The following is a 25002-nucleotide window of genomic DNA, read 5'->3' on the forward strand; positions in this document are numbered from 1 at the left end:
GTCTCGCTCTGTCGCCCAGGCTGGAGTGCTGTGGCACGATCTCAGCTCACTGCAAGCTCCTCCTCCTGCGTTCATGCCATTCTCCTGCCTCAGCCTCCCTAGTAGCTGGGACTACAGGCGCCTGCCACCACGCCCGGCTAATTTTTTGTATTTTTAGTAGAGACGGGGTTTCACCTTGTTAGCCAGGATGGTCTCGATCTCCTGACCTTGTGATCCACCCACCTCGGCCTCCCAAAGTGCTGGGATTACAGGCGTGAGCCACTGCGCCTGGCCTAATTTATCTTTTTTTTTTAAAAGAGCCATCATACGGTGAAGGAGCTGAGCCAGCTCAGGTTTCTCTTCCTCTTCTCTTAAAGCCACTGGTCCCACTTGCATGAAAATCCATTAATCGATTAAGCCATGAATTTGTGAATTCATGAATGGACTAATCATTTCATGAGGGGAAGAGTTCTTAAGAGACTGTCACCTGTTAAAGGCCCTCTCAATACTGCCACATTGTGGATTACGTTTCAACATGAGTTTTGGAGGGGGCAAATATTCAAACCATAGCAGAGGCTTAGCAACCAAGAGCAGTACTAAGGACATAAAGAGTCCATGAAATTTATCCTCAATATACCAGTGAGTATTTATACCATCTTTTTTTTTTTTATTTTTATTATGACCATTTTTTTGAGACAGAGTTTCGCTCTTGTTGCCCAGGCTAGAGTGCAATGGCATGATCTCGGCTCACCGCAACCTCTGCCTCCTGGGTTCAAGTGATTCTCCTGCCTCAGCCTCCTGAGTAGCTGGGATTACAGGTGCACACCACCACACCCAACTACTTTTGTATTTTCAGTAGAGATGGGGTTTGTCCATGTTAGGCTGGTCTCAAACTCCCGAACTCAGGTGTCCCAAAGTGCTGGGATTACAGATGTGAGCCACTACACCTGGCCTATCCCCTCTTTATTTAAGCCCTTTAAATTCGCAGGGAGTACCTAATGTCAAATATCAGCAGTTTAGTTTGTTCAGGATTAATTATTTGTGTAGTTTTGATGACTATGTATTGAAAACAAGTGCTCCTTTTACTTCTGTGTGATTGCAAATACCACTGAAGTAGCCCCTAACTATATAGGGGCCGAAAATTGCCATTATCTAATCCATTGATCATCTAATCTATTGATAATGGCAATTTTCAGCCCCTATGTAGTTAGACAGATTGCAGTCTGTCCAATTTTATTTTTATTTTTTACACTTATTGAATTAGAAAAGCATGTCCATTTTTAAAGCAATGAAATATCTACTCCATATTTGTGCTAAGTATAGTTTTAAAATTAACTATCACAAATAAAACAGCAACAGCTTAGACTTCAGGGTAGTTTTCTTCCTAAGAAATTCCTAAATTTCTTAGGAATTCTCAATTTCTAAATTGCAAACCACAGTATAAATTCAGAAAATTCCACTTTAGATTTGAATACAGCTCCAGGAGAGGATGATTGTCTCTTTGTTATACTCTTTAGAGGTTTGTTTTTTTTTTAATCTGTCATTACATTCAGATTTTAAATTCAATAAACATACACGATATACATCTCTTTGGAGGTGACCAAAACAGACATTCCTCTTATTTCACACACACCAAGTAAGCCTACAGTTAATGTTGCTTTGATACTGATGAGAAACTCGTATTTTATGTTAGCAATTTCTACTTTTCTGTCTCTACTGAAAATTCTTCTGAAAAGAATTTTAACTTCTTTTCAAAGAATGCCAAAATAGTCTGGAAAAAAACCCAAAAATCCAAGAAAACAAAACCCCAAAAAACAACAAAAGTCTTAAGCTTTTGGCCGGGCGTGGTGGCTCATGCCTGTAATCCCAGCACTTTGGGAGGTGGAGGCAGGTGGATCACCTGAGGTCGGGAGTTCGAGACCAGCCTGACCAATATGGAGAAACCCCCGTCTCTACTAAAAATACAAAATTAGCCAGGCATGGTGGCGCATGCCTGTAATCCCAGCTACTCAGGAGGCTGAGGCAGGAGAATCACTTGAACCGGGAGGCAGAGGTTGTGGTGAGCTGAGATCGTGCCATCGCACTTCAGCCTGGGCAACAAGAGTGAAACGCCGTCTCAAAAAAAAAAAAAAAAAAAAAGTCTTAAGCTTTCATAAGCACATAATCAGATCTTTCCATCTTTCATGGGGACCGTTGATTGGTAAATTCTGTTTTATGTTACAAAAGAGCAAAGTGGCTGTGTTCTAATACAGTTCTAGTTTTGCAACAAAAGTCTTGTAAAATTTTATATTCTCATTATTAAACGTGGATTTTAAGGGGCAGCCTCCATGCCTTATGACAAAACTAAGTGATAAAGGAATGTGCTGGTCAATCTGTTTTATTGTATACTTGATACCTTTTATGGTTGCATTTCATTACCTGAAATTTGGGGAAAAAAGACTAGAAGCTTGGCTTTTAGGTCACTTTTTTTTTTTTTTTTGAGACAGAGTCTTGCTCTGTCACCCAGGCTGGAGTGCGGTGGCGCGATCTCGGCTCATTGCAACCTCTCCCTCCTGGGTTCAAGCGATTCTCCTGCTTTAGCCTCCTGAGTAGCTGGGACTACAGGCATGCACCACCATGCCCGGCTAATTTTTTTGTATTTTTAGTAAAGATGGGGTTTCACCACGTTGGCCAGGCTAGTCTGAAACTTCTGACCTCAGGTGATCCGCTCGCCTCGGCTTCCCAAAGTGCTGGGATTACAGGCGTGAGCCACTGCGCCCAGCTGCTTTTAGGTCACTTCTGATAGCCTTGTATTTCATTCTATTGCTTATGAGCTTTGTATTCTGCTTTTGTGTTTGTTTTACTTTTCAGTGAAAATAAATAAATAGCTCAAGTGGGATCTATGCTTTAGTTATGTAAAGAATAGATTGCAGCAACATGGAATCAGCTGGAGGCCATTATCCCAAGCGAATTAACGTGGAAACAGAAAACCAAATACAGCATGATCTCACTTATAAGAGGGAGCTAAACATTGAGTACACATGGACACAGAGATGGGAACAATAGACACGGGGTTTACTTGAGCGCGGAGGGTGAAAGGAGGGTGAGGAGCAGAAAACTACCTACCGGGTACTGTGCTCACTACCTGGGTGATGAAATCTTTGTACATCGAACCCCAGCAACACACAATTTACCCACATAACAAACCTGCACATGTACCCCCAAACCTAAAATAAAAGTTAGAAGGAAAAAAAAAAGAATAAAGAGAGAAGACTTCTTAGACTCCTTAATCATATTATTTTTGTTGTCTGGGTAAAGATGGCTGAGGCCTGATGGCCTGATAGACTGATAGAAAGACAGTTATGAATTTAGAATTTCTTCTCTTCTTTTGATCACTTCATTCAGCAAGTAACGAGAGACACATAAAACAAAATTCTAAGGACTAAGTTAAGCTCAATATTTAAAGTCCAAGAAAACTGTGAGTTAAAAACTGGATATTAGGCACTGAACAGGACAAGTAACATATTTCTTGTACTTTTAACTGCTTTTTCAAACAAATTAAAACGGATAGGAAGCTCTTGGGAAACTCTTTTCAGTCATTGCAAAAAAATAGCTCAACCTATCCTAATCTGGCAAAGATTTAGAGGGCCTAAATTCCTAAAAGCATTAGGGGATTTTTTTTCCCCCTAGTTCCCAAGTATGCTGTATAAGAGTAATTTCTGTGGCTGGTCACGGTGGCTCACGTCTGTAAATCTCAGCACTTTGGGAGGCTGAGGCAGGCAGAGCACCTGAGGTCAGGAATTTGAGACCAGCCTGGCCAACATGGCAAAACCCCGTCTCTACTAAAAATACAAAAATTAGCCAGGCATGGTGGCGCATGCCTGTAGTCCCAGCTACTCGGGAGGCTGAGGCAGAAGAATCGCTTGAACCCAGGAGGCAGAAGTTGCAGTGAGCCGAGATCGCACCATTGCACTCCAGCCTGGGCAACAGAGTGAGACTCAGTCTCAAAAACCAAAACAAAACAAAAGAATGATTTTTATTATACCAAATTCAGAGTTAAAACATCTTTATATTCATTTGATATACTCTATGAGTGCATTTGCAGCCTTTAAAAGAGACGGTTGCTTAAGCTGACACTGCAGAGCATTGCAAGAAGTGTTGATTAAAATCTCCACATTTGTTCTGAGTTTGTGAATTCCAAGGAGGTTGGCTAATAGCAAGTAGTGGCTCTTCCACAGCTACTCAGCCCTGGATCATGGCCACCTGTGTGTCATTCCTATGCAATGACTGTTGTTAATATTTTGGTGCATATCTTTCAAATCTTTTCCTTTCATTGTAGATATTTTTTAATTTGCAAAGTCGATCTCATAGCCTTACTTTCTATTTTATAATTTTTTTCACCAACAACATGTGATTGATTTTTTAAAAACCATGTTCAACACTGTAAGATTATTCATCATCTCTCCTAGTTATAACATAATTTATTAGTTTCCTGTTGTTGGACACTTAGGCTATTTTAAATTTTTGCCTAGTGTAAATATTGTTGTGATTCACATCCTTGAACTTAAATCTTTGGGTACAGCCTGATTATATTCTATAGATAAGTTTCTTGAAGTAATGTTACTGAGTCAAATGGCAAATGTTACCACCATGAGATAATCATTGGAAATAATCTGGTGCATATTTTTGCTCTGTTTTGAAAAATTAATGTGTATGTACACAAATGTAAGTTTATATAACCTTTTATTTATTTATTTATTTATTTATTTATTTAGAGACAGAGTCTCGCCCTGTTGCCCAGGTTGGAGTGCAGTGATACGATCTTGGCTCACCACAACCTCTGCCTCCCGGGTTCAAGCGATTCTCCTGCGTCAGCCTCCTGAGTAGCTGGGATTACAAGTATGTGCCACCACACACGGCTAATTTTTGTATTTTTAATAGAGACGAAGTTTCACCATGTTGGCCAGGCTGGTCTCAAACCCCTGACCTCAAGTGATCTGCCCACCTCAGCCTCCCAAAGTGCTGGGATTAGAGGAGTGAGCCACCATGTGCGGCCAGTTTATATAACTTTTATTTTATTTTATTTTATTTATTTATTTATTTTGAGACGGAGTCTCACTTTTGTTGCCCAGGCTGGAGTGCAATGGTGAGATCTCGGTTCACTGCAACTTTCACCTCCCTGGTTCAAGCGATTCTTCTGCCCCAGCCTCCCAAGTAGCTAGGATTACAGGCACACACCACCACCCCCAGCTAATTTTTGTATTTTTAGTAGAGACGGGGTTTCACCATGTTGACCAGGCTGGTCTTGAACTTCTGACCTCAGGTGATCCACCCGCTTCGGCCTCCCAAAGTGCTGGGATTGTAAGCATGACCCACTGTGCCTGGCCAACTTTTTATTTTTATTATTTATTTGGAGACAAGAGTCTCGCTCTGTCGCCCAGTCTGTAGTGCAGTGGCAGGATTTTGGCTCACTGCAACCTCCACCTCCTGGGTTCAAGAGATTCTCCTGCCTCAGCCTCCCGAGTAGCTGAGATTACAGGCGCATGCCACCACACCCAGCTAATTTTTGTATATTTAGTAGAGACCGGGTTTCATTATGTTGGCCAGGCTGGTCTCAAACTCCTGACCTCAGGTGATCCACCTGCCTCGGCCTCCCAAAGTGCTGGGATTACAGACGTGAGGCACCGCACCTGGCCTATATAACTTTTTTAAAAAGTTGTTGTGTTATGTATGGGGGGCTGTATTGAAGGTTTTTAAGCAGAGGAATGACATGATCTGATTTTCATTTTAGAAGAATCATTCTGGCTGCTATGCTTCAAATAGACTGCAGGGAGCAAAGATAGAAGAAAAGATAAAAGCAGGGAGTCTATTTCAGTAATCCAGGAGAGAGATAATAGTGGCTTGCAGCAGGAGACAGCAGTGGTGGGAGTGAATGGTGGTCAGATTCTGGATATATTTTTGCAGGAAGACAGATTGCACGTGGGGTATGAGAGAAAGAAAGGAGTTCAGATTAACTCCAAGTTTTTTAGATTTGAACAATGAAGGATGATGTTGACATCAAGTGACAGGGAAAAGGCTAAAGATGGAGCAGGTTTGGAAAGAGAAAAGAACAAGAGGTCAGTTTGGAGATAATAAGTTTGAGATATCAATTAAGTATCCACATGGAGATGTCCAGAAGGCTGTTGAATAGATGAGTCTGGAGTTCTGGAGTGAACAGGCAGGCATTAGAAATATAAATTTGGAAATTATTAGCATATGGATGGTTTGTAAAGCCAGGAGACTGAGTGAGATTACAAAGGGAGATACAGACAAAGAGAAGAGAACCAAGACTCAGAAGAAGGAGCATTTCAACATGAAGAGCACTTACCATGCACCAGGTAAGGTTCTATGTGCTTTGCATAGATTCTAGGTTGACTCGTTTAATGTCTAAAAGAACTCAGTGAAGAGGTATAGTTTAGTATAGAGGTTCCATTTAGCAGAGGAAGAATCAGAGGCACAGAAAGATTGTCAGTAAATGGATAAATTATTTCATGATATGAGTTGATAAATCAGTTTTACCTTCCTTATTGAATAATGCAAAGTTAATCTGAAATAAGTCATGTAAAATTTTTTTGCACAGGTTTTCTTCAGTATGTTTCAAAAATCTTAGTAGTACTAGAAGACATTTCAGTTATATTTTAAATAATTAGCATGACTAATCTGTTCAAAGTACTTTTCTTTCCAGCTGACAACACGTTTTAGGAAAGAAGATTGAAGGGGGTAAAGAAAAAATGCTTATGTTCAAATTAGAAAAAAGGAGAGCCATTTTTAGTGTTCAGCATTTCTAAAAGACACTGTCTTTAATTGCTTTCACATATATCTTCCTTAAGAACCATGCATTCTCTAATTATATTTAGGGATGGGAGAGGTAAATCAATAAAGAGAAATTGTCATTACTCCTACTACCTCACCCCATAATATATATTCAGAACTTCGCAAAGGGGCAGTTTCTAAGGCTATAACTTGTCCTTAACACAAATGTGCATTAGGCAGGGAAAGACAAAAAGCATGATGGTGGGGTAGTTCCTACAGAAGGCTTCCAGTTGAAAAAAATATTTCAAATCATCCCTTTGGTACTATGGATATTTTTATATCTTGAGACCAAGATACAGGATACATAAATTTGCAGTGCTCTCTTCTACCTTCTCCTCTTCCTTGGGAAAAAGGTTAATGTGAAAGGGGAGGTGGAAAAGGAGAATCTGCAAGACATTTTTTCAGGCAGATCAATTTTGGGAAAAAGGAGAAATAGAAGTTGAGGATCTGGAAATAAATTACCCATACCAGTTGTCCTTGGAAAGTCTTTACATATATTTGGGGATTCCTATAACTCAGGTTAAATACTGTTGTCTTAAATAACCCCAATATGGAGGGAGAAAAGAGAGTTATCTAAAAAAACCAGGAGTGATTGTAGAAGCATTCCTCTACTGAACACAAAATATGAGACAATGGACAGGTGTGTAAACTTACCTGATACTAGACAGCAGCATGACCCTTGAATAATAATACCAGGAAAAGCAGAATCCAGGATGAGTTTAGAGGTGTGAAAAATAACCAAAAATCCCCAGAAGAGTCTTTTCAAGGTCATGCTCTTACAGAAGAACAAAAACAAAAAGACTCTGTTCAGGGAAAGATGATGTAATATTGAAAAGATAACAGAGAAAGCAGAACTAACATCTCTTTTTTTCTGTTCTCTCAGTAACTATCTTCAAATGGAAAGGTTAAAAGAAGAACGGTCAAGAGTGAAACTAAAGCCAAGGCAGGTAAGAAATAAGAGGAGCTTTTAAAAACACTTAGTTATTTTAATAATGTATTTAATTTATTCCCAGATAAAGTATATCCTAAGATATTGAGAGAACTTGGGTTGTAATCATGCAACTAATGTTAAGTCTTAGAAAGTAATTTTATGGGGGTTGGGTGTGGTGGCTCACACCTATAATCCCAGCACTTTGGGAGGCCGAGGCAGGCAGATCATGAGGTCAGGAGTTCGAGACCAGCCAGCCTGGTCAACATGGTGAAACCCCTGTCTCTACTAAAAATACAAAAATTAGCCAGGTGTGGTGGTGCATGCCTATAATCCTAGCTACTGGGGAGGCTGAGGCAAGAGAATCGCTTGAACCCGGGAGGCGGAGGTTGCAGTGAGCCGAGATCGCGCAACTGCACTCCAGCCTGGGCGACAGAGCAAGAATCCATCTCAAAAAAAAAAAAAAAAGTAAGTAATTTTATGAACAGAAAGTCAGCATAGATTCATTAAGAATCAATACTGTCAAACTAACCTTACATAAATCTAAGTAATAAAACGTAATAAACTCAACACCTAAGAACTCATTACTCAACTTAAGACCTAGGCTTTGTATCTTTTTTCACTAAACATTATATTGGAGCATTTCTCCTATGTCATTAAGTATTCTCCTACACTGTAATTTCAAAGATCCACATAGTGCCCAATTATATTAATATTTTCTAAGTTACTTAAGCAATTCATCTTGGTCAAGTCTAAACTGTTTCAAATTTTTGGCTTACAAAAATCAAGCTGGCAAGCCAAGCACTGTGGCAGGTTCCATAGTCCCAGCTACTTGGGAAGCTGAGGCAGGAAGACTGCTTGTGCCCAGGAGTTTGTGGTGACAGTGAGCTAAGATTGAGGCTATGACTGAGCCTGTGAATAGCCACTGCAGTCTAGCCCAACCAACATATGGAGACATGGTCTCTCTCTCTCTCTCTCTTTTTTTTTTTTTTTTGAGACAGGGTTTCTCTCTGTCACCCAGGCTGGAGTGCAGTGGTGCCATCTCAGGTCACTGCAACCTCCACCTCCCAGGCTCAGGTGATCTTCCTGCCTTAGCCTCCCGAGTAGCTGGGACTACAGGTGCGCACCACCACACTCAGCTTGTTTTTTGTAGAAGCAGGGTTTCACCATGTTGCCCAGGCTGGTCTTGAGCTCCTGGGCTCAAGCAATCCACCCACCTCAGCCTCCCAAAGTGTTAGGATTACAGATGTGAGCCTGTCATTAGTTTTTTTTAATCATGTAGGAGTTATGATCATTTTACATAAAACTTCGTAAATTATTTTTAGAAATTTAGGTTAAATTCTCAGAAGAGGAATAAATGAATCAAAGGGCAAAACATTTCAAAAGTCTTTTAATAAGCACCATCAAAATTGTCTCTAGAAAGATGTACCTATGTATAGTCTCACCAACAATATATGAGTGCCTATCTTTCTAACTCTTATCAATAATGGAAAACTTTGGTAGAAAAACCCTTCTTTGGTAATTTTTTATTGTGGTAAATACACATAATACATATTTTACCACTTTAACCATATTTAAGTGTATAATTCAGTGGCATTAAGTACATTCATAAGGTTGTACAACCATCACTACTATCCATTTACAGAACTTTTTCATTATCCCAGTAGAAACTCTATACCCACGAAACAAAGAAAAAGTTAAAAATATTTCTTCAATTTTGCCACTCTTTTGCTACATGTTCTTCAATCCCATCAGTAGTACTCTTCCCTCTTCCTAAGATATTGGAATTCGAATGAATTAGTCAGAATAGGAAAGGCTATTCTGTGGTAACAAACAATTCTAAAATCTTCTGGCTTACACTACAGAAATCTATTTCTCACTCAAGTTACAAATTCTGTGCCAGTCAGTGAGTGTCTCTGCTTCACACAGTCTTTCAGAGTTCCAGGCTAATACAGGGTCCAAACATTTCATAGATTTTCTATCAGGAACTGGGGGATTTCATAGTTACAAAGGCAGGACAAGAACATACCGGAGAGCCTTGCACCAGAAATTAAATGCTTCGGTTGAAAAATCACGCATTTCCCTTCCACTAGAGCCAGAAGAACACAGTTAAAATGAGTAACACAACAGGGGCTAGAAAGTCTATCCCTCCCTTGGGCCCTAGAAGAGAGAACTGGATATGGGTGAGTACCAGAAGTCTCTATATCTTCATTCACATCCGCATTATATAAAGCTGGCTTCATAACTCCTTAGAAAGTTCTCTTTTCTTTTTTTTTTTAAGACAGAATTTCACACTTGTTGCCCAGGCTGGAGTGCAATGACACGATCTCGACTCACTGCAACCTCCACCTCCCAGGTTCAAGCGATTCTCCTGCCTCAGCCTCCCGGGTAGCTAGGATTACAGGCATGTGCCACCACACATGACTAATTTTTGTATTTTTAGTAGAGACGGGGTTTCATCATCTTGGCCAGGCTGGTTTCGAACTCCTGACCTTGTCATCCACCCACCTCAGCCTCCCAAAGTGCTGGGATTACAGGCATAAGCCACAGTGCCCGGCCCAAAGTTTTATTTTCTATTAATGGAGATCACACATTAATGTTTCATTTTTACCCAAGAAATCCTGAAATAAGAAAATAAAATAAAACAATTAATTTAGAAGAACAGCCATTTGACATAAGTGAAAAGTCACGTTTCACAGAGTGGTATGTAAACATCCTGTTGTAGCTAAACATGTTAAATTGCCATCTTTGGGCCTAGCTTTCTTAATAACTTCTACTTTTTGAAGTAGATGCAGATGTTTTCCAGCAGCCTTGGACCCTCTGGTTTTCATGTGATTAGTCATGTCACAGAAGAAACCCCATGGTGGATGATAAACGTTAAAACTCTTTACAGGTTGGGTGCGGTGGCTCATGCCTGTAATCCCAGCACTTTGGGAGGCTGAGGCGGGCAGATCACAAGGTCAGGAGATCGAGACCATCCTGGCTAACACGGTGAAACCCCACCTCTACTAAAAAAATACAAAAAAATTAGCTGGGCATGGTGGTGGGTGCCTGTAGTCCCAGCTACTCGGGAGGCTGAGGCGGGAGAATGGCATGAACCTGGGAGGTGGAGCTTGCAGTGAGCCGAGATCGCGCCACTGCACTCCAGCCTGGGCTTCAGAGCAAGACTCCGTCTAAAAAAAAAAAAACACAAAAACACAAAAAACTCTTTAAAAATTCATGAGCAGCTTTTTTGAGAAATGGGATATCAGTACTTCATTTTTCGTTAAATATACTCTCTTCCCTTTAACACATTTCTGCCAAAAGCTTTTGTTTTTGCAAAAAAAAAAAAGTATTACCAAACCATAAAGATTTTAATAGCTGTAGATTTGTATAATATAATAAAGGACAAATAGCTATAGCAATAGGGTTCTACCACTCTCTATGAGCTCTATGGCAGCTCTGCTCAGCCTCCATTTTCTTGTACATCTTACACTCAACCTGTAATTTTCTATGCTTCCTGTTGACCCTGCTGACTGGCCTGGCAACTTCGTTCATCATGCAGGTTACTGCCCGGGCCACTCTGAAACTAGTTGGTACACCAAAATAGCCAGCAAGGTTAGCAGTATCAACTGCTTCTCCTCTGGCCAATAATACTGCAAGGGGTAGCTGTCTCTACCCGATTGTATCTCAGAGAGCTTCATTTTATCAGCAAGTATCCTTCTTACTATTCTTAAAAATAAGTGTTGGTTACCTTGCTTCTGGAAACGTCAGAAAAAGAAAGATGGGTTGGCTGGGTGTGGTGGCTCACGCCTGTAATCCCAGCACTTTGGGAGGCTGAAGTGGGTGGATCACCTGAGGTCAGGAGTTGGAGACCAGCCTGACCAACATGGAGAAACCCCATCTCTACTAAAAATACAAAATTAGCTGGAGTGGTGGCACATGCCTGTAATTCCAGCTACTTGGGAGGCTGAGGCAGGAGAATCACTTGAACTTGGGAGGCTGAGATCACGCCATTGCACTCCAGCCTGGGCAACAGAGTGAAACTCCATCTCAAAAAAAAAAAGGAGTGAAATGGGTTATCCTTGGTCATCTGTCAGATTATCCACGTGTTAAAGTGAGAACTCTGTTCACTGCACATGTGTCTCACGCTACTACTAGATGTCACTACTAGATGAGACCATGGTAGGAGTTAAAAACAGAATGACGGTCCAGCAAACCCATCCTGGCCTCTTTTTTCTTTTCTTTTTATTTTTTTTTGAGACAGAGTCTCACTCTGTCACCCAGGCTGGAGTGCAGTGGTGCAATCTCAGCTCACTGCAACCTCCACCTCCTGGATTCAAGCAATTCTCCTGCCTCAGCCTCCCAAGTAGTTGGGATTACAAGTACCCACCACCATGCCTGGCTATTTTTCTATTTTTAATAGAGATGGGGTTTTGCCATGTTGGCCAGGCTGGTGTTGAACTCCTGATCTCAAGTAATCTGCCCACCTTGGCCTCCCAAAGTGCTGGGATTACAGGCATGAGCCACTATGCCCGACCTCTTTTTAAAAGCTTCTATGCATTATTTGTAGTAGAACCCCATTTAAAAATGAGAAATCCAGGCCAGGTGTGGTGGCTCATGCCTGTAATCTCAGCACTTTGGGAGGCTGAGGCAGGAAGATCACTTGGGCCCAGCAGTTCAAGGCTGCAGTGAACTATGGTTATGCCATGATACTCCAGCCTGGGCAACAGAGGGAGACCTTGTCTCTTAAAACAAACAAACAAACAAACAAACAAACAAACACACAAAATCCAGGGGAAACAGGCCAAACGAAGCGCATGCCAGGACAATAGGTATAAAGCAGACCAGTTCCAAACAAAAGAGGATTTAAGGTCATGCTACTTAGAACTAAATAATCTAAGATGATAACTTAATGACTTGTTTCTCCAGTGTGTGCCATGAACCACCAGATTCCCCTTTTAGAATATAAATGGGAGTGTTCTGTTTTCTGTTCAATCTCAGCCAGATAATCGATTCTAAACACCCCATGACTTCCCTGAAGGTCTGTTTCCTTCTACTACCAATCTAGGAGTCTACTAATCTCTGGTTGCAAGGAAGAAACACTGATTCTGTCAACTTAAGCAAAAGGGTATTTGATTTGAAGCATACGGAGGTGTTAAGGAAGTCTTAAAGAACCAGCTTTGGAAGAAGCCTGGTAGCCTCCCCAGCAGCAGGTCTATTTCAACACTCCTGGCTGGAAAAGATGAACTCTGTTTCTTCTGTCAGTGCTTTACTACGTTCAAAAGTCAAAGTCTTGGGAAAGTCTGGTTGGCCAAGCTTAGGTCACGTGCCCAGCCCTTGGCTGTGGCAGGTCTGAGAGGAAAGATTTATAGAACAAACCTCTAGGGATCTCTCTGGATTCCCTAGCATGAGGCAGGCACAGGAATTTTACAAAGACTACATGTTATGTGGGAAAATGATTACCCCGGTGGAAATCATGGTAAAGTTGGGAAGTGGGAATGAATGCTGGGCATTCCGAAATGCCAGTGTCCATTATTTAGAGTAAAAACGATCATTTTAATGGCATCAAAGCACATAAACCCAGGATTCCTATTGAATTAATATATGCTGATTTATTTTACTATTTTCTAATTGTTAAGTGGCTGCTGCATTCTTTTTTTCTTTACTGCAACAAATAGCCTTAAGCATATACTTTTTTTTTTTTTTTTTTTTTTTTGAGATGGAGTCTTGCTCTGTTGCCCAGACTGGAGTGCAGTGGCACGATCTCGGCTCACTGCAACCTCTGCCTCCAGGGTTCAAGTGATTCTCCTACCTCAGCTTCCCAAATAGCTGGGAATACAGGCGTCCACCACCACACCCAGCTAATTTTTGTATTTTTAGTAGAGAGGGGGTTGCACCATGTTTGCCAGGCTGGTCTCAAACTGCTGACCTCGTGATCCTCCCACCTCTGCCTCCCAAAGTGCTGGGATTATAGGTGTGAGCCACCATGCCTGGCCTTTTTCTTTTTTAAGTTTTTATTTATTTATTTATTTATTTTTTGGGATGGAGTCTTACTCTGTCACCCAGGCTGGAGTGCAATGGTGCGATCTTGGCTCACTGCAACCTCCGCCTCCAGGGTTCAAGTGATTCTCTTGCCTCAGCCTCCCAAGTAGCTGGGATTACAGGCACCCACCACCACGCCCAGCTAATTTTGTATTTTTAGTAGAGATGGGGTTTCTCCATGTGTGTCAGGCTGGTCTCGAACTCCTGAGCTCAGGTGATCTGCCCGCCTCAGCCTTGCGAAGTGTTGAGATTACAGGCGTGAGCCACTGCACCCAGCTGAGAAGATATGAATTTCAATGTGGGAGGACTGGAGAATCTCCCCCACATACCCACCCTCCCTCTTCCCCATCCCAGTTTCAGTAGGAACGCCCACTTCTCAACCAGGCTGTCAGGCTGGCTGGAGGAAGCAGCAGTGTGCTTTGTTTTAGAATTATCCTCTTGTCAGCTTATTCTGCATGGCTAGAGTATATCAGATTGTAAACGCTTGAGTTGAGGGACTTTTTCGCCTTAGCACTTGCTTACCACAGTGCTTTCCCCACCCCGTGTACTCAATCAATATTTGCTGACCAAATATCCCTAGTTAATTGTACTAGTTCTAAAACTTCCTTGAGGTCCTAAACTCTTCCAAGCTTTGATGCCCAGAAGTACTGGAAAAGGTGAGCTCTCCTGAGAAAAAAAGCAGCGAAGCCCGAAGCCCACGCTCAGTGTTCTCAAGGATAGAAGCAGGGCTGGTGCTGAGCAGGTAGGATGGGCCCTCACTCCCTCTTCAGCCTCATCTCAGCCCGTGCTGCTCCCGCCACATGGCCACAGTTTCAGCTACTTGTACTGGTTCTTCCACAAATCCTCCTCTGGGAACGCTTCTTCCCTCTGCACATCACATCCACTTCACCTCTGTCCATTCACTCTTGGTGCTTCAGGTCTCAGCTCAGTTGTCACATCCTCACTGACATCTCAGAATAGTCCAAAGTCCCCTGAAGAGCAGGCTTCTTCCTAGTGCTTACCAGAGATTTCACTTGACATTTATATTTGCAATGTTTTGATATATTTTCTTTCACTCTGATTGGAGGATATTAGTCCATGAGATCATGAATCATGCTAGGTTTTTGTTTGTTTGTTTGTTTTTGCTATTGCTGTCCCAGTTCTAGGATAGTACCTGGCACATAATGGGTGCTTAGTAAATGCTGGAGGCACAAGTAGTAGTTTCTTTTTTTTTTTTCTTCATGTCTGTTTTTTTTTTTTGGAGATGGAGTCTTGCTCTGTCACCCAGTCTGGAGTATAGTGGCCACGATCTCGGCTCACTGCAACCTCTGCCTCCCAGGTTCAAGCAATTCTCCTGCCTCAGCCTCCCAAGCAGCTGGGACTACAGGCGCATGCCACCACACTCAGCTAATTTCTGCATTTTTAGTAGAGACGGGGTTTCACCATATTGGCCAGGCTGGTCTTGAACTCCTGACCTCGTGATCCACCCGCCTCAGCCTCCCAAAGTGCTGGGATTATAGGCAAGAGCCACCACGCCCAGCACAAGTAGTAGTTTCTGCACACCACACTGCACTGGTGCACCCACTGCAATCCTGGAATATACAGAGATCCTGGGGTGACTCTCAGCAGAGCATACCCAGCTTAGTGTTCATAGCATAGCCTTTCTCAAATTTCATTACTCAGACTGCTAGTCACAAACTCTCAATAGAGGTGGTATGAAGAAAAAGGTTCTTTTAAAAATATAGGTGTAATTAAAATGTCAAACATATTTGGACCATTATTATTATTCTGTGAGACCATATGTCTTTAAGGAAAGGGTATGGCTGGGTGCAGTGACTCACGCCTGTAATCCCAGCACTTTGGGAGGTAGAGGCGGGTGGATCACCTGAGGTCAGGAGTTCAAGACCAGCCTGGCCAACATAGTGAAACCCCGTCTCTACTAAAAATACAAAAATTAGCCGAGCATGATGGCGCATGCCTGTAATCCCAGCTACTTGGTAGGCTGAGGCGGAAAAATCACTTGACCCCGGAAGGGAGGCGAGGGTTGCAGTGAGCCAAGATAGCGCCACGGCACTCTAGCCTGGGTGACAGACAGAGACTCCATCTCAAAAAAAAAAAAAAAAAAAAAAGAAAAGGTTATTATAGGAAGACGAGTGACATAAAGGGGGAGATGAAGGAGTCCTTTACTCTTCCTTCATTATGCTTTCTTTCTAAGCGTGCAGTTCAGTGGCATTAAGTATATTCACATTGTTGTACAAGCATCACCATTATACTTTTATAGGTTACCAGTTCACAAACTCGTTGTGTAGTATCCTCATATCTTGTTGGATCAGCCTGCCCCATGCTCAAAGGTGACCCCTTAATGGCCCAAGCTACTTGGCATTACCCCCTTCTTGGGCTCAGTGATCAATTGAGCGGCAGGCCTCCAGGTCCAAGGGACTCAGGGAATGGCAGTCTCCTGAAATGCTTTGATTCCCAGATTAAAGTAGTTGTGATAAGGGAGCAACTTTCTAGCTCAGGAAGGGGTATTGTCTCACCTGTAGGTGAGTCTGGAAATGTTGATGCTATTTGGTTCTCATGAAGGAAGCTTTCTGGAGGCTGAAGTCAATTCCTAGAAGGCAAGCAGAGCCAAGAGAATCATAGAGAAATGGAGCTGGAGTGCTGATAACTGCTTCAGAAGCTTCAACTACCTCGCTGTGGAGGTTTTCAGTGATGTGTTTCAATAATTAAGCTATTTTGGCATTTTTGTTTCTTTTTGTGTTTTGTTTTTAATACTTGTGAGAGAAAGCAGCTTTACACAGTCTGCAAGAGACCCAAATAATTATTTTAAATTTCTTCTATTTACATAATTTAGTTTTTGGCATAGCTGTAATTTATATACCTCACTCACAAAGGTGTCAGCCTGCAGCAGAGACTGCTAGGTTCCTGCTCAAAATCTACTATCCCTTTTCTCTTTGTAGGAAAATTCACATTTCACTTATGTACCCGGGAAAAAGACCACATTTTTCATCTTCCCTTGCAGTGAGGTGTGGCCATTTGATTAAGATCTGGTCAATGAGATAAAAAATAAAATGTTGTGTGAGATGCACAGGAATGCTGAGAAAAGAAGCTGATTCAGTGAGGACAGGGGCCCTTCTATCCTTTCCCTTCTTTCCTCCCAGAAGGACCTCTAGGAGCCATCTTGTACCATGAGGTGACATTGAGGATGGAAGCCAGTGCTTCCTTGGGGACTCTGGAATCATGGACTCCTTTTTATGAGAGAGAGGGAAATCTAAACCCCTTATGGTTTAAAAACCAGTGATTTTGGATTTTCTGTTATAATGTGTCTGAACCTAATTCTGACTCACAACCTGAAACATATCCAAGGATTCAGTAGACCCATATTTAACTTTACAGGTAGGTACTTTGTGAGTCATCACAACACAAAAACTACAGTATGGTATGCAGCAGAACCTACATCAAGGGAAGGTTTCCTATCTGTTAACCTCTATTTCATGTAGACTGAAACTTGACCAGCTTGCATTGATTCAAATCCCTAACTAATCCAAGCACTGAGTAAAGCATAAAAATGCCATTTGGGTGTCAGTGCCTACATGACTTAAGTACTTGAATGTCTCCCAGGCATCTCAAACATTTCATGAGTTTATACTGAAACGCATCCTTCCAACCCAGTCATCACCAACACTGCCATGACAGCTTCTTACCTCATGTTATCCTTTCAGTAAGTGGCATATCCATCCACCTAACTTACCATGCCACAAGCCTGGGGGCCACCGCTGACCCCTTCTTCCTCATTTCCAATATCCAGGCTATTGTCAAGTCCCAGAATCTCCTTCTAAAATATACTTCATTTCTGTCTATTTCTCGCTGTTTCCTTGGAGGGTCACCTTGGAGGATTGAGCTATTCCATTTCTTGCCCAGACAACTCCAACCACCTTCTGTCTGGATTTCCATTCTCCACACAGCAGCTAGAGAGAAAACACAATCCGGATCATTTTACTACATGCATAAAACTCTTTAAAGGCTCCCAACAGTGTTGGGATACAGTCCCAAATCCTAAATAAGACTTAGAGGCTCTGCACCATCTGACCCTGCCTATCCTCCACCACCTGGCATAGTTGTGAGCCAGTCTCTCTCACTGGGCTTCAGCCACCGACCTGTTCATCTCTTGAGTGTGCCATCTCAGGGGCCTGCACAAGCTGGTCCCATGTCTGTACTACTCTGTTCCTACCCCTATTTAACAGTTAACTCCTACTGATATTCCTGGTCATTGATTAAATTATCATTTTCATATCACTTCCTCAATGAGGCCTTCCTTGACCCAGCCCCAATCTCCATCAGGTGTTCCAATTATAATCTCTCACACACCCTTCACTTTAACTGCATGGTGCTTCAATTTTCAATTGGATATATATGTGTGTGATTTTTCTTTTTCTTTTTTTTTGGGATGAGGCCAGTCTCCCCCAGAGACCAAAAGCACGGTGAGGACTGTTTTGTGTGCTGCTGCATCATGAGCACCTAATACGGTGCCTAATACATATAAATGATCAGTAAATATTTGTGGGAATAATTGATTAATTAAGATGAAACCTGGAAACTCAGTAGCATCTGCTTTTGTGGCCACTTTTCTTGAGTTCTGTCTTACATGGTTTAAAACCATGATTTAAGGGCTCTCCTGCCCCGAAAATCTTTCCCACATTGATGGAATGTAATCTGTCTCCTCCTCTCCCTCATCCCTCTCTTCAGCCCATCCTCCACACTTCCTTCTTCCTTGAGTCTCATTATTATCATAATTTTCAGCAGGCACTTTACAAACACAATTTCATTAAATCTTCTCAAGCAACCTGCAGCTGCAATGTCATCATCTCCATTTCACTGATGGTAAGTCTGAGGTTTACAGAAAATTACCTTTGCTAAGGTTGCACAACTGTTAAGTAGTAAAGCTGGAGCTGGAACTACTAAATATCTATCTTTCCACTGTCCACTGTACAGAGATTTCTCTTCAGTTAGTTATACTTATTCATTCCACATTTACTGATCACTTGTATACCAGACACTGCATAGGCATAGCTGAATAAAACAAAATTAATCAGGCCCCTCCACTCATGGTAATTATTGTGGACCTATTTGGTAATGAATTAAGATTCATATTCACTAGCTCTTTAACACTGGGTGTACATGTGTGTGAAGTGATAAGTAATATTTTTTATGATGTTTTGACATTGTTTTAAACAACTTTTTTTTTTCTCCAAATATCTAAAGAACTGGGCACACTGAATAAACCAGAGTTTTTACGGCTTGAAGTCTAATGTGGTAAAGGAGAAGCAGTTCTAGAGTAGTTCATCTTAAAAAAAATTTTTTATTGAGATATATTTCACAGACCAAAAGAAATCCACCCATTTATCACATACAATTAAGTGATTTTGAGTATATTCAGAATTGTGCAACCATTACCAAAATGTAAATTTAAATTGTTTTCGGCCAGGCTCGGCGGCTCACTCCCATAACTCCAGCAATTTGGGAGACCAAGGTGGGAGCATCATTTGAACTAAGGAGTTTGAGAAAAGCCTGGGCAACATAGTGAGACCCTATCTCTATGAAAAATAAAAATATTAATAATTTTCATCACCCTGAAAATAAACTCCTGACTACATATACCCTCCACTCTATCCCCCAGTCTCTAGCAACCACTAATCTTTCTGCCTCTATAGATTTACCTGTTTTGGACATTTAATATAAGTAGATAGTATTGGCCTTTTGCAGCTAGGTTCTTTTACTTAGTATAACGTTTTCACCGTTATTGTGCCGTAGCACGTGTCAGTACTTCATTCCTTTTTATTGTAGATTAATATTTCATTTTATGGACAAACATTTTGTGCATCCATTACACAGCTGACAAAGGACATTTTGGTTGATTCTACTTTTTGGCTATTACGAATAATGCTGCTATGAATATTTGTGTGTAAATATTTGCGTGGACATATATTTTCATTTCTTTTGGGTATATATCTAAGCGTGGACTTGCTGGGTCACACGGTAACCTCCATGTTCAATATTGAAGAAGTCTCAGCAGCCCCTCTATGAGAAAAGGTTTGGGTTTCTGCTCTGAGGATTGAGTGTGGTCAGTGCTTGGCTGTTTCGCTAGGCCCTCATTTTTGTTTACACCCCCTCTCTTCTTGTCTTTCTTCCCCTTTATTTGCCTCTTTTATTCTCTTTTCTGTAGACTCCAGTCTCCTGCTGGTTTTAGTAGGAACTGAAGCTTTCACCGCCTAAAAGTTATTTGTAAAACACTTTGAACTCTCTGGAGGATGGACATTAGAGTAATAATGTTTATCTGTGGGTTAGGCACTCCTGGTGCTGTTTTGTAACAAAAGGGCTTATTGAGTAGGAGGCTTATTTAACTTGTTCGGGAGGGTTACCCTCCTACAACATGCTGTCCAAACAGATTCTTAATTACCCAGCTGAGAGTCTGAACGTCTTGAGGAATTACTTTGAAGTTTCTCGTTAATATTACCATCATATCATGTAAGTCTATATCGCGAGTTTGTAGATGTATGGAGTTCCTAGTGGGTGCCCGGCACATAATAATTGCTTAATAAATTGCGATTATGAAACGTTACTCTAATGAACTATTAGTGTTTTTTTTTAAGAAATACTTTTTTTTTTTTTTGAGACATTGTCTCGCTCTGTCGCCCAGGCTGGAGTGCAGTGGCACCATCACGACTCACTGCAACCTCCGCCTCCTGGGTTCAAGCGATTCTCCTGCCTCAGCTGGGACTACAGGCACGTGCCACCGCACCCGGGTACTTTTTGTATTTTAAGTAGAGACGGGGTTTCACCATGTTAGCCAGCTGGTCTCCAACTCCTGACCTCAGGTGATCTACCCGCCTCCGTCTCCCAAAGTGTTGGGATTACAGGCGTGAGCCACCACGTCCGGCCTAAGGTATACATTTTAATACTTTAAAATGCCTAACTTTTTTTGGGACACACTGGAGTTGTTTCATAACACACAAAATAGGCTTTTTGAGGGCACTGACATAAATTCTCATTGATCGTCACCCCCACGCGGTGAAAACCACACGTTACCTGGCATGTTTTCCGGTAGTTATTTTTAGAATAATAAAGATCGTCTTCACCTACCCCAGCAAATTTAATGTGCTGAACACAACAGAAACAACTTTTCTGTGGTTTAGCCAGCCCTCTCTCTTCAACTAAGTTATTTAGTGCGGATACGCAGAGAAGTGTAATAGGAGCTGCTGGGCCACCAAGAAAACGCTCTTGCCATTGTAAGGCTTCGATCTCAAGCGGAGATTTACCACGCATCTCACTTTAAACTGGGAAAGGAACCGGGATAAGGAAAAGAGCCCCCTGTGCGAGTTCGTTCCCAGCTCGGGGTTGGGGGCGTCCCAGGATAAATGAGATAAATGAGTTAATCATCTCCTGCAAGGCAGCCACTTCAGAGTTATGTCGCCCGCCTGCGGGGACTAACGACTGCAATTAAGACGCTCCTTCTCGGTCCCGGTCGGGTTCCGTGCAGCGGGGAGCCGACTGTGAGTCACCCCGGCCCCGGGAGCCCAAGCAAAGGGGAGGGGAGAGCGCCCAGGGTGGAGGGGAGCCGCGGGGCGAAATTCTAGCCCCAGGACGCCTCGGAAGGAAGAGGAGGGGCAGCTGCGCGTGGGGAAGAGAAGGAAGAGGCGTCCAGGGAAGGGAAGGGAGGAAGAAGGAAGGCGGAGGAAAGAGAAGGGGACGAGCGGGAGCGCGGGCCCGGCCGGGTGGCGCCTCGGGGAGTGTCTGCCGCGCGGGGGCCGGGCGGGGCGGGGCCGCGGGCGCTCAGAGCTCGGCGGGGGCTGCCGGGATTGGGGCGCCGCAGCTAGCGCTGGTCTCGGTGGCAGCTCCTCCGCGCCGCAGGACTCGGCTCTACGGGACATGTCCGTGCCGCGCTCGCCGCGCGCCCGGGCCTGCTAGCTCCTCTGTGCTCCCTGAACGCGCGGCGCCGCACCTGGCAGCGGCCTCGGAGCTCGGCTCGGGCAGGAGCGCGCGGCCGTGCGCACCGCGCAGCGACCGCTGCCGTCATGGGGCTGCAGCCCCTGGAGTTCAGCGACTGCTACCTCGACAGCCCGTGGTTCCGGGAGAGGATCCGCGCTCACGAAGCGGAACTCGAGAGGACCAACAAGTTCATCAAAGAGCTCATTAAGGACGGGAAGAACCTCATCGCTGCGACGAAAAGTAAGCGGGGACGCGGGCGCGGACGGGCTGCGGCGTGGCGAGGCGGCTGGGGGAGCCTCTCTCGGCAGGAGACGGAGGGTCTTGTGTCCGGGGCCAGCAGCCAGAGGAACGGGGAATTCATTCCGGACCAGCCCAGCTCTCTCGGAACCCCGGGGGGTCCCTGGAATCATTCCTCCTCGAGGCAGCGCGGCGAGTCCCCATTCCCGCCCCTGCGGCTCTGCGGCGGCGGGAACCAGCTGCCAGCGGGCCCCGCCTGGGCCCCGCCTGGCCCCGGCCGAACACCCCTCGCTGAATGCGCGCTCCGCTGGACCGACCCTAGGCACTCCTGGCCCGGAGTCAGGTTTCATTGCTGCCTAAAGCTACTCACAATCTCTTACAAAACCGAGGCATCTGTTTGCCTAGTTTTGTTTTGTGACTTCTCAAAAGAAATTTCTTGGGGATTCTTTGAAACCCTGCGGGAGTGTTGAGTTTTCCAGAGTCCCCTTAAGCTTCACCTTTTCCCTCTCATTGTCTGATCTTCCCCGACAGTCCTGTTCCAGGTCCTTCACGTGCCAAACCAGAAAGTCCACCTGGCTTTATGCTGCTTCCGCACATTCCTCCCCTGCCGTGCTGAGGAGGGTTCAAAGATTGGGGTTTGGAAGGGTGAGCGGACAGCCTGCCCTCTAGCCTAGGCGGGCACTGCTTGCAAATAGGGAATTCCACCCCGGTTAGGCTTGGTGCCTTCCTCCCCTGAACTTCTGTCTCTTAAACTCGGAAGAAGACACGAGATACAGGAGAGATAACTGTATTTTAGTGTAGTTGAGGAGAGTCTTTCTAGGAGAGAAGGGGCCAAAATTCATGCAGAAATACTGAGTTAGTGATGCTACTGGAAAATGGGGCGGAATTAGCCCCAGTGAGGAGCTGGGCAGCCTGACCATCCCTTGGATCCATAACCCCTTCGGAGGATGGCGGTGAATGTCCCCTTTCCCCCTTTAAAAGACCTGTCCATACAGCAGACAGGGACTTGGGCAGTATCCAGCCTTGAGGGGCTGGGTTCTTAGGGCCTTCATCACTCACCTAGATTCTCAGTTCAGTAATTCTCAGCCTTAGGTATTCGTCCCTTGTACATTTGTTTGTAGATACCACCTCTGGGGAAAATCCCCCATCTCACTGTTCTCCCGACCGCGCCCCGCCCCATTTTTCAGTAAGGGCGATTAAAACATATTGATTATACTGTCTCGGGCACCCAGCATGGTGCCTGGTACAGTAAATATGCATTTAATGAATAAGTTGAAGTACATTTCTGTGGGAAGAATTTAGTGAGCCATCCCTGTAATTTTGGAGGCAAGTCACTCAACTTCTCTGGATGATCTCCAAGGTTCCTTTTGGTTCTCTGACCTCTTTGGTGTTGCAAAATCAGGACTGGGACTCACTTAGGGTTTTTTTGTTTTGTTTTTAAGTCTCTGCTGCTTGAATCAGAAATGGGACTCTGGGACATGTGACAAGTGGGCTTATTTGGTTGAGGGCTCTCCAGGCCCTTGGCATCTGGTATGTGTGTTGGGTGGGAAGTAGGGGGGCGCCTATACATATGGAGGAGTGAGCATAGAAAGGAGGAGTTGGGAGCGGGGGTGCAGAGTGAACACGAGAGAATGAGGACTGAGGACTCTTTCTGTAACTTGATGTTAACCAGAGTCAGTGGCCGGGAGAATGTACCTTCTCTCTCATTGGTTGTAGTAGTTCCCTCTGGAGCTAGAGAGGTGTGGAGAGAGGCAGAGGGCAAAGCCAGTTTGGCCACTGGTAGAAAGCTATTTCTGTGACAGCATATTAGCTTTCCTGCCATCAGGACACATGCGTTAGGTTCCAGCAGCAGCCAGTGCATCTGGGGGGCCAGATGTCAGCTTTCCTCCAGACTGTAGACTTTCTTGAATTTGTGAATTAGTATCTTACTCATTTTGATTCTCGTCCTTTAGCATAAGAAACATAACTTGTAATCATGCTTTGAGAGTAATTGGGAAGTGTCTTTTTTTCTCGTTATGTTCATTAAGAATTTATGTTTAAATTCTTTCCCAGAAGGTGACAGGAACACAGCTGTAGCTCACATGCCTTTTCCCGCTTGCTCCATAAAGTTTACTTCTAGTTCCTATCAAAGACTAAGAGCCTTGGACTAAAGTCAGGGGACCTGAATTTAATTCTTCTTCACTGGTTAGGGCGTGGCTATAGGAAAATTGAGCAGGTCTTATTCTTTTGCGTCCAACTTCCCCTGTCTACCTCTTAGGGGAACTAATAAGGTTCTGCAGCATTTGAAAATGGCTTGATGAGGTTATTTGAAACTGCAGTCTAGGTAAATGGTTCATCTAACCAGTTGAGCTTTTGTATAACATCAGAGAGTCAAGGGATGACATTGGGTGGAGGATCTACAGAAAGAATAAAACCCACTAGGTCAGATTATTTATATTTCCAGATATTTTATATTTTATTTTACAAAAATGACCTTTTGAGCATTTCGAGAAGTGTGTATTTAAGTGATTTCTATTTTTAATTGCCCTGCACGGTGTCTCCTGTTTGCATTACATTCTTGGAAGATTTCAATATGTAATTTTGATGGCTTGATGCTTTGAAGTCTTCCATAAATATTTAGAGTTTTGAGGCCTATGCGACCTGAAGGCTTACTGCTGAATTCAATTAGGTAGCAATCTGCAAATATTTAGCACCTATAATTTGCTAAATACTGGAATTAGATACGGATTTATAATGGGGTAGAGGCCCTTGCCCTTGAGTTTACTGTCCTGTAGTTGAAATTACTTCAATCTAAGGAACATTTTTGAACTCCTTCCTGCACTGTGCTAAATTCTTGAAGAAACAAAGGATATAGACACATACCTGTGACAAGGTTAAACATTTAGTGACAAGTATTCTAACTTTTCCAGGGACAAGGGTTTGTATGTTAGAGTGGAGGAGGTTTGTGAAAGTTTTGGAACTCACTGGTGATAAGGAGTAGAACCTTATCATATTGGAAACCAGAAGAAACCAGAACACTCGAGTGTTTGAAGAGACTA

General features: G+C 43.3%; 1 protein-coding gene across 3 annotated transcripts in view, besides 7 other annotated features; it reads left to right on the top strand.

The window, feature by feature from the left end:
* Positions 7745-7794: an enhancer, noted in NCBI's record as "active region_22003". NCBI's record gives its function as "activates an Ori minimal core promoter by ATAC-STARR-seq in GM12878 lymphoblastoid cells {active_cell/tissue: GM12878}" and the evidence as "EXISTENCE:reporter gene assay evidence [ECO:0000049][PMID:35858748]".
* Positions 21211-22103: an enhancer, noted in NCBI's record as "H3K27ac hESC enhancer chr4:148652850-148653742 (GRCh37/hg19 assembly coordinates)". NCBI's record gives its function as "activates a minimal SCP1, AML or CMV promoter by ChIP-STARR-seq in naive H9 embryonic stem cells {active_cell/tissue: H9 hESC(naive)}" and the evidence as "EXISTENCE:reporter gene assay evidence [ECO:0000049][PMID:30033119]".
* Positions 21297-21816: a silencer, noted in NCBI's record as "silent region_15741". NCBI's record gives its function as "represses an Ori minimal core promoter by ATAC-STARR-seq in GM12878 lymphoblastoid cells {active_cell/tissue: GM12878}" and the evidence as "EXISTENCE:reporter gene assay evidence [ECO:0000049][PMID:35858748]".
* Positions 21600-25002, top strand: part of ARHGAP10 (Rho GTPase activating protein 10) — a 340689-nt gene continuing 337286 nt past the window's right edge. For all 3 annotated transcript variants that reach the window (XR_001741324.2, NM_024605.4, XM_005263215.4), the window contains exon 1: positions 21600-21967. Coding sequence is in view for 2 of the 3 variants with exons in the window: in NM_024605.4 (NP_078881.3) it covers positions 21814-21967 (154 nt within the window). In the remaining variant the exon portion in view is untranslated. The remainder of the gene's footprint in view (positions 21968-25002) is intronic.
* Positions 22104-22996: an enhancer, noted in NCBI's record as "H3K27ac hESC enhancer chr4:148653743-148654635 (GRCh37/hg19 assembly coordinates)". NCBI's record gives its function as "activates a minimal SCP1, AML or CMV promoter by ChIP-STARR-seq in naive H9 embryonic stem cells {active_cell/tissue: H9 hESC(naive)}" and the evidence as "EXISTENCE:reporter gene assay evidence [ECO:0000049][PMID:30033119]".
* Positions 22127-22206: a silencer, noted in NCBI's record as "silent region_15742". NCBI's record gives its function as "represses an Ori minimal core promoter by ATAC-STARR-seq in GM12878 lymphoblastoid cells {active_cell/tissue: GM12878}" and the evidence as "EXISTENCE:reporter gene assay evidence [ECO:0000049][PMID:35858748]".
* Positions 22317-22386: an enhancer, noted in NCBI's record as "active region_22004". NCBI's record gives its function as "activates an Ori minimal core promoter by ATAC-STARR-seq in GM12878 lymphoblastoid cells {active_cell/tissue: GM12878}" and the evidence as "EXISTENCE:reporter gene assay evidence [ECO:0000049][PMID:35858748]".
* Positions 23515-23644: an enhancer, noted in NCBI's record as "active region_22005". NCBI's record gives its function as "activates an Ori minimal core promoter by ATAC-STARR-seq in GM12878 lymphoblastoid cells {active_cell/tissue: GM12878}" and the evidence as "EXISTENCE:reporter gene assay evidence [ECO:0000049][PMID:35858748]".

Source organism: Homo sapiens, chromosome 4, assembly GCF_000001405.40.
Source record: "Homo sapiens chromosome 4, GRCh38.p14 Primary Assembly".
Classification (NCBI taxonomy): Eukaryota; Metazoa; Chordata; class Mammalia; order Primates; family Hominidae; genus Homo; species Homo sapiens.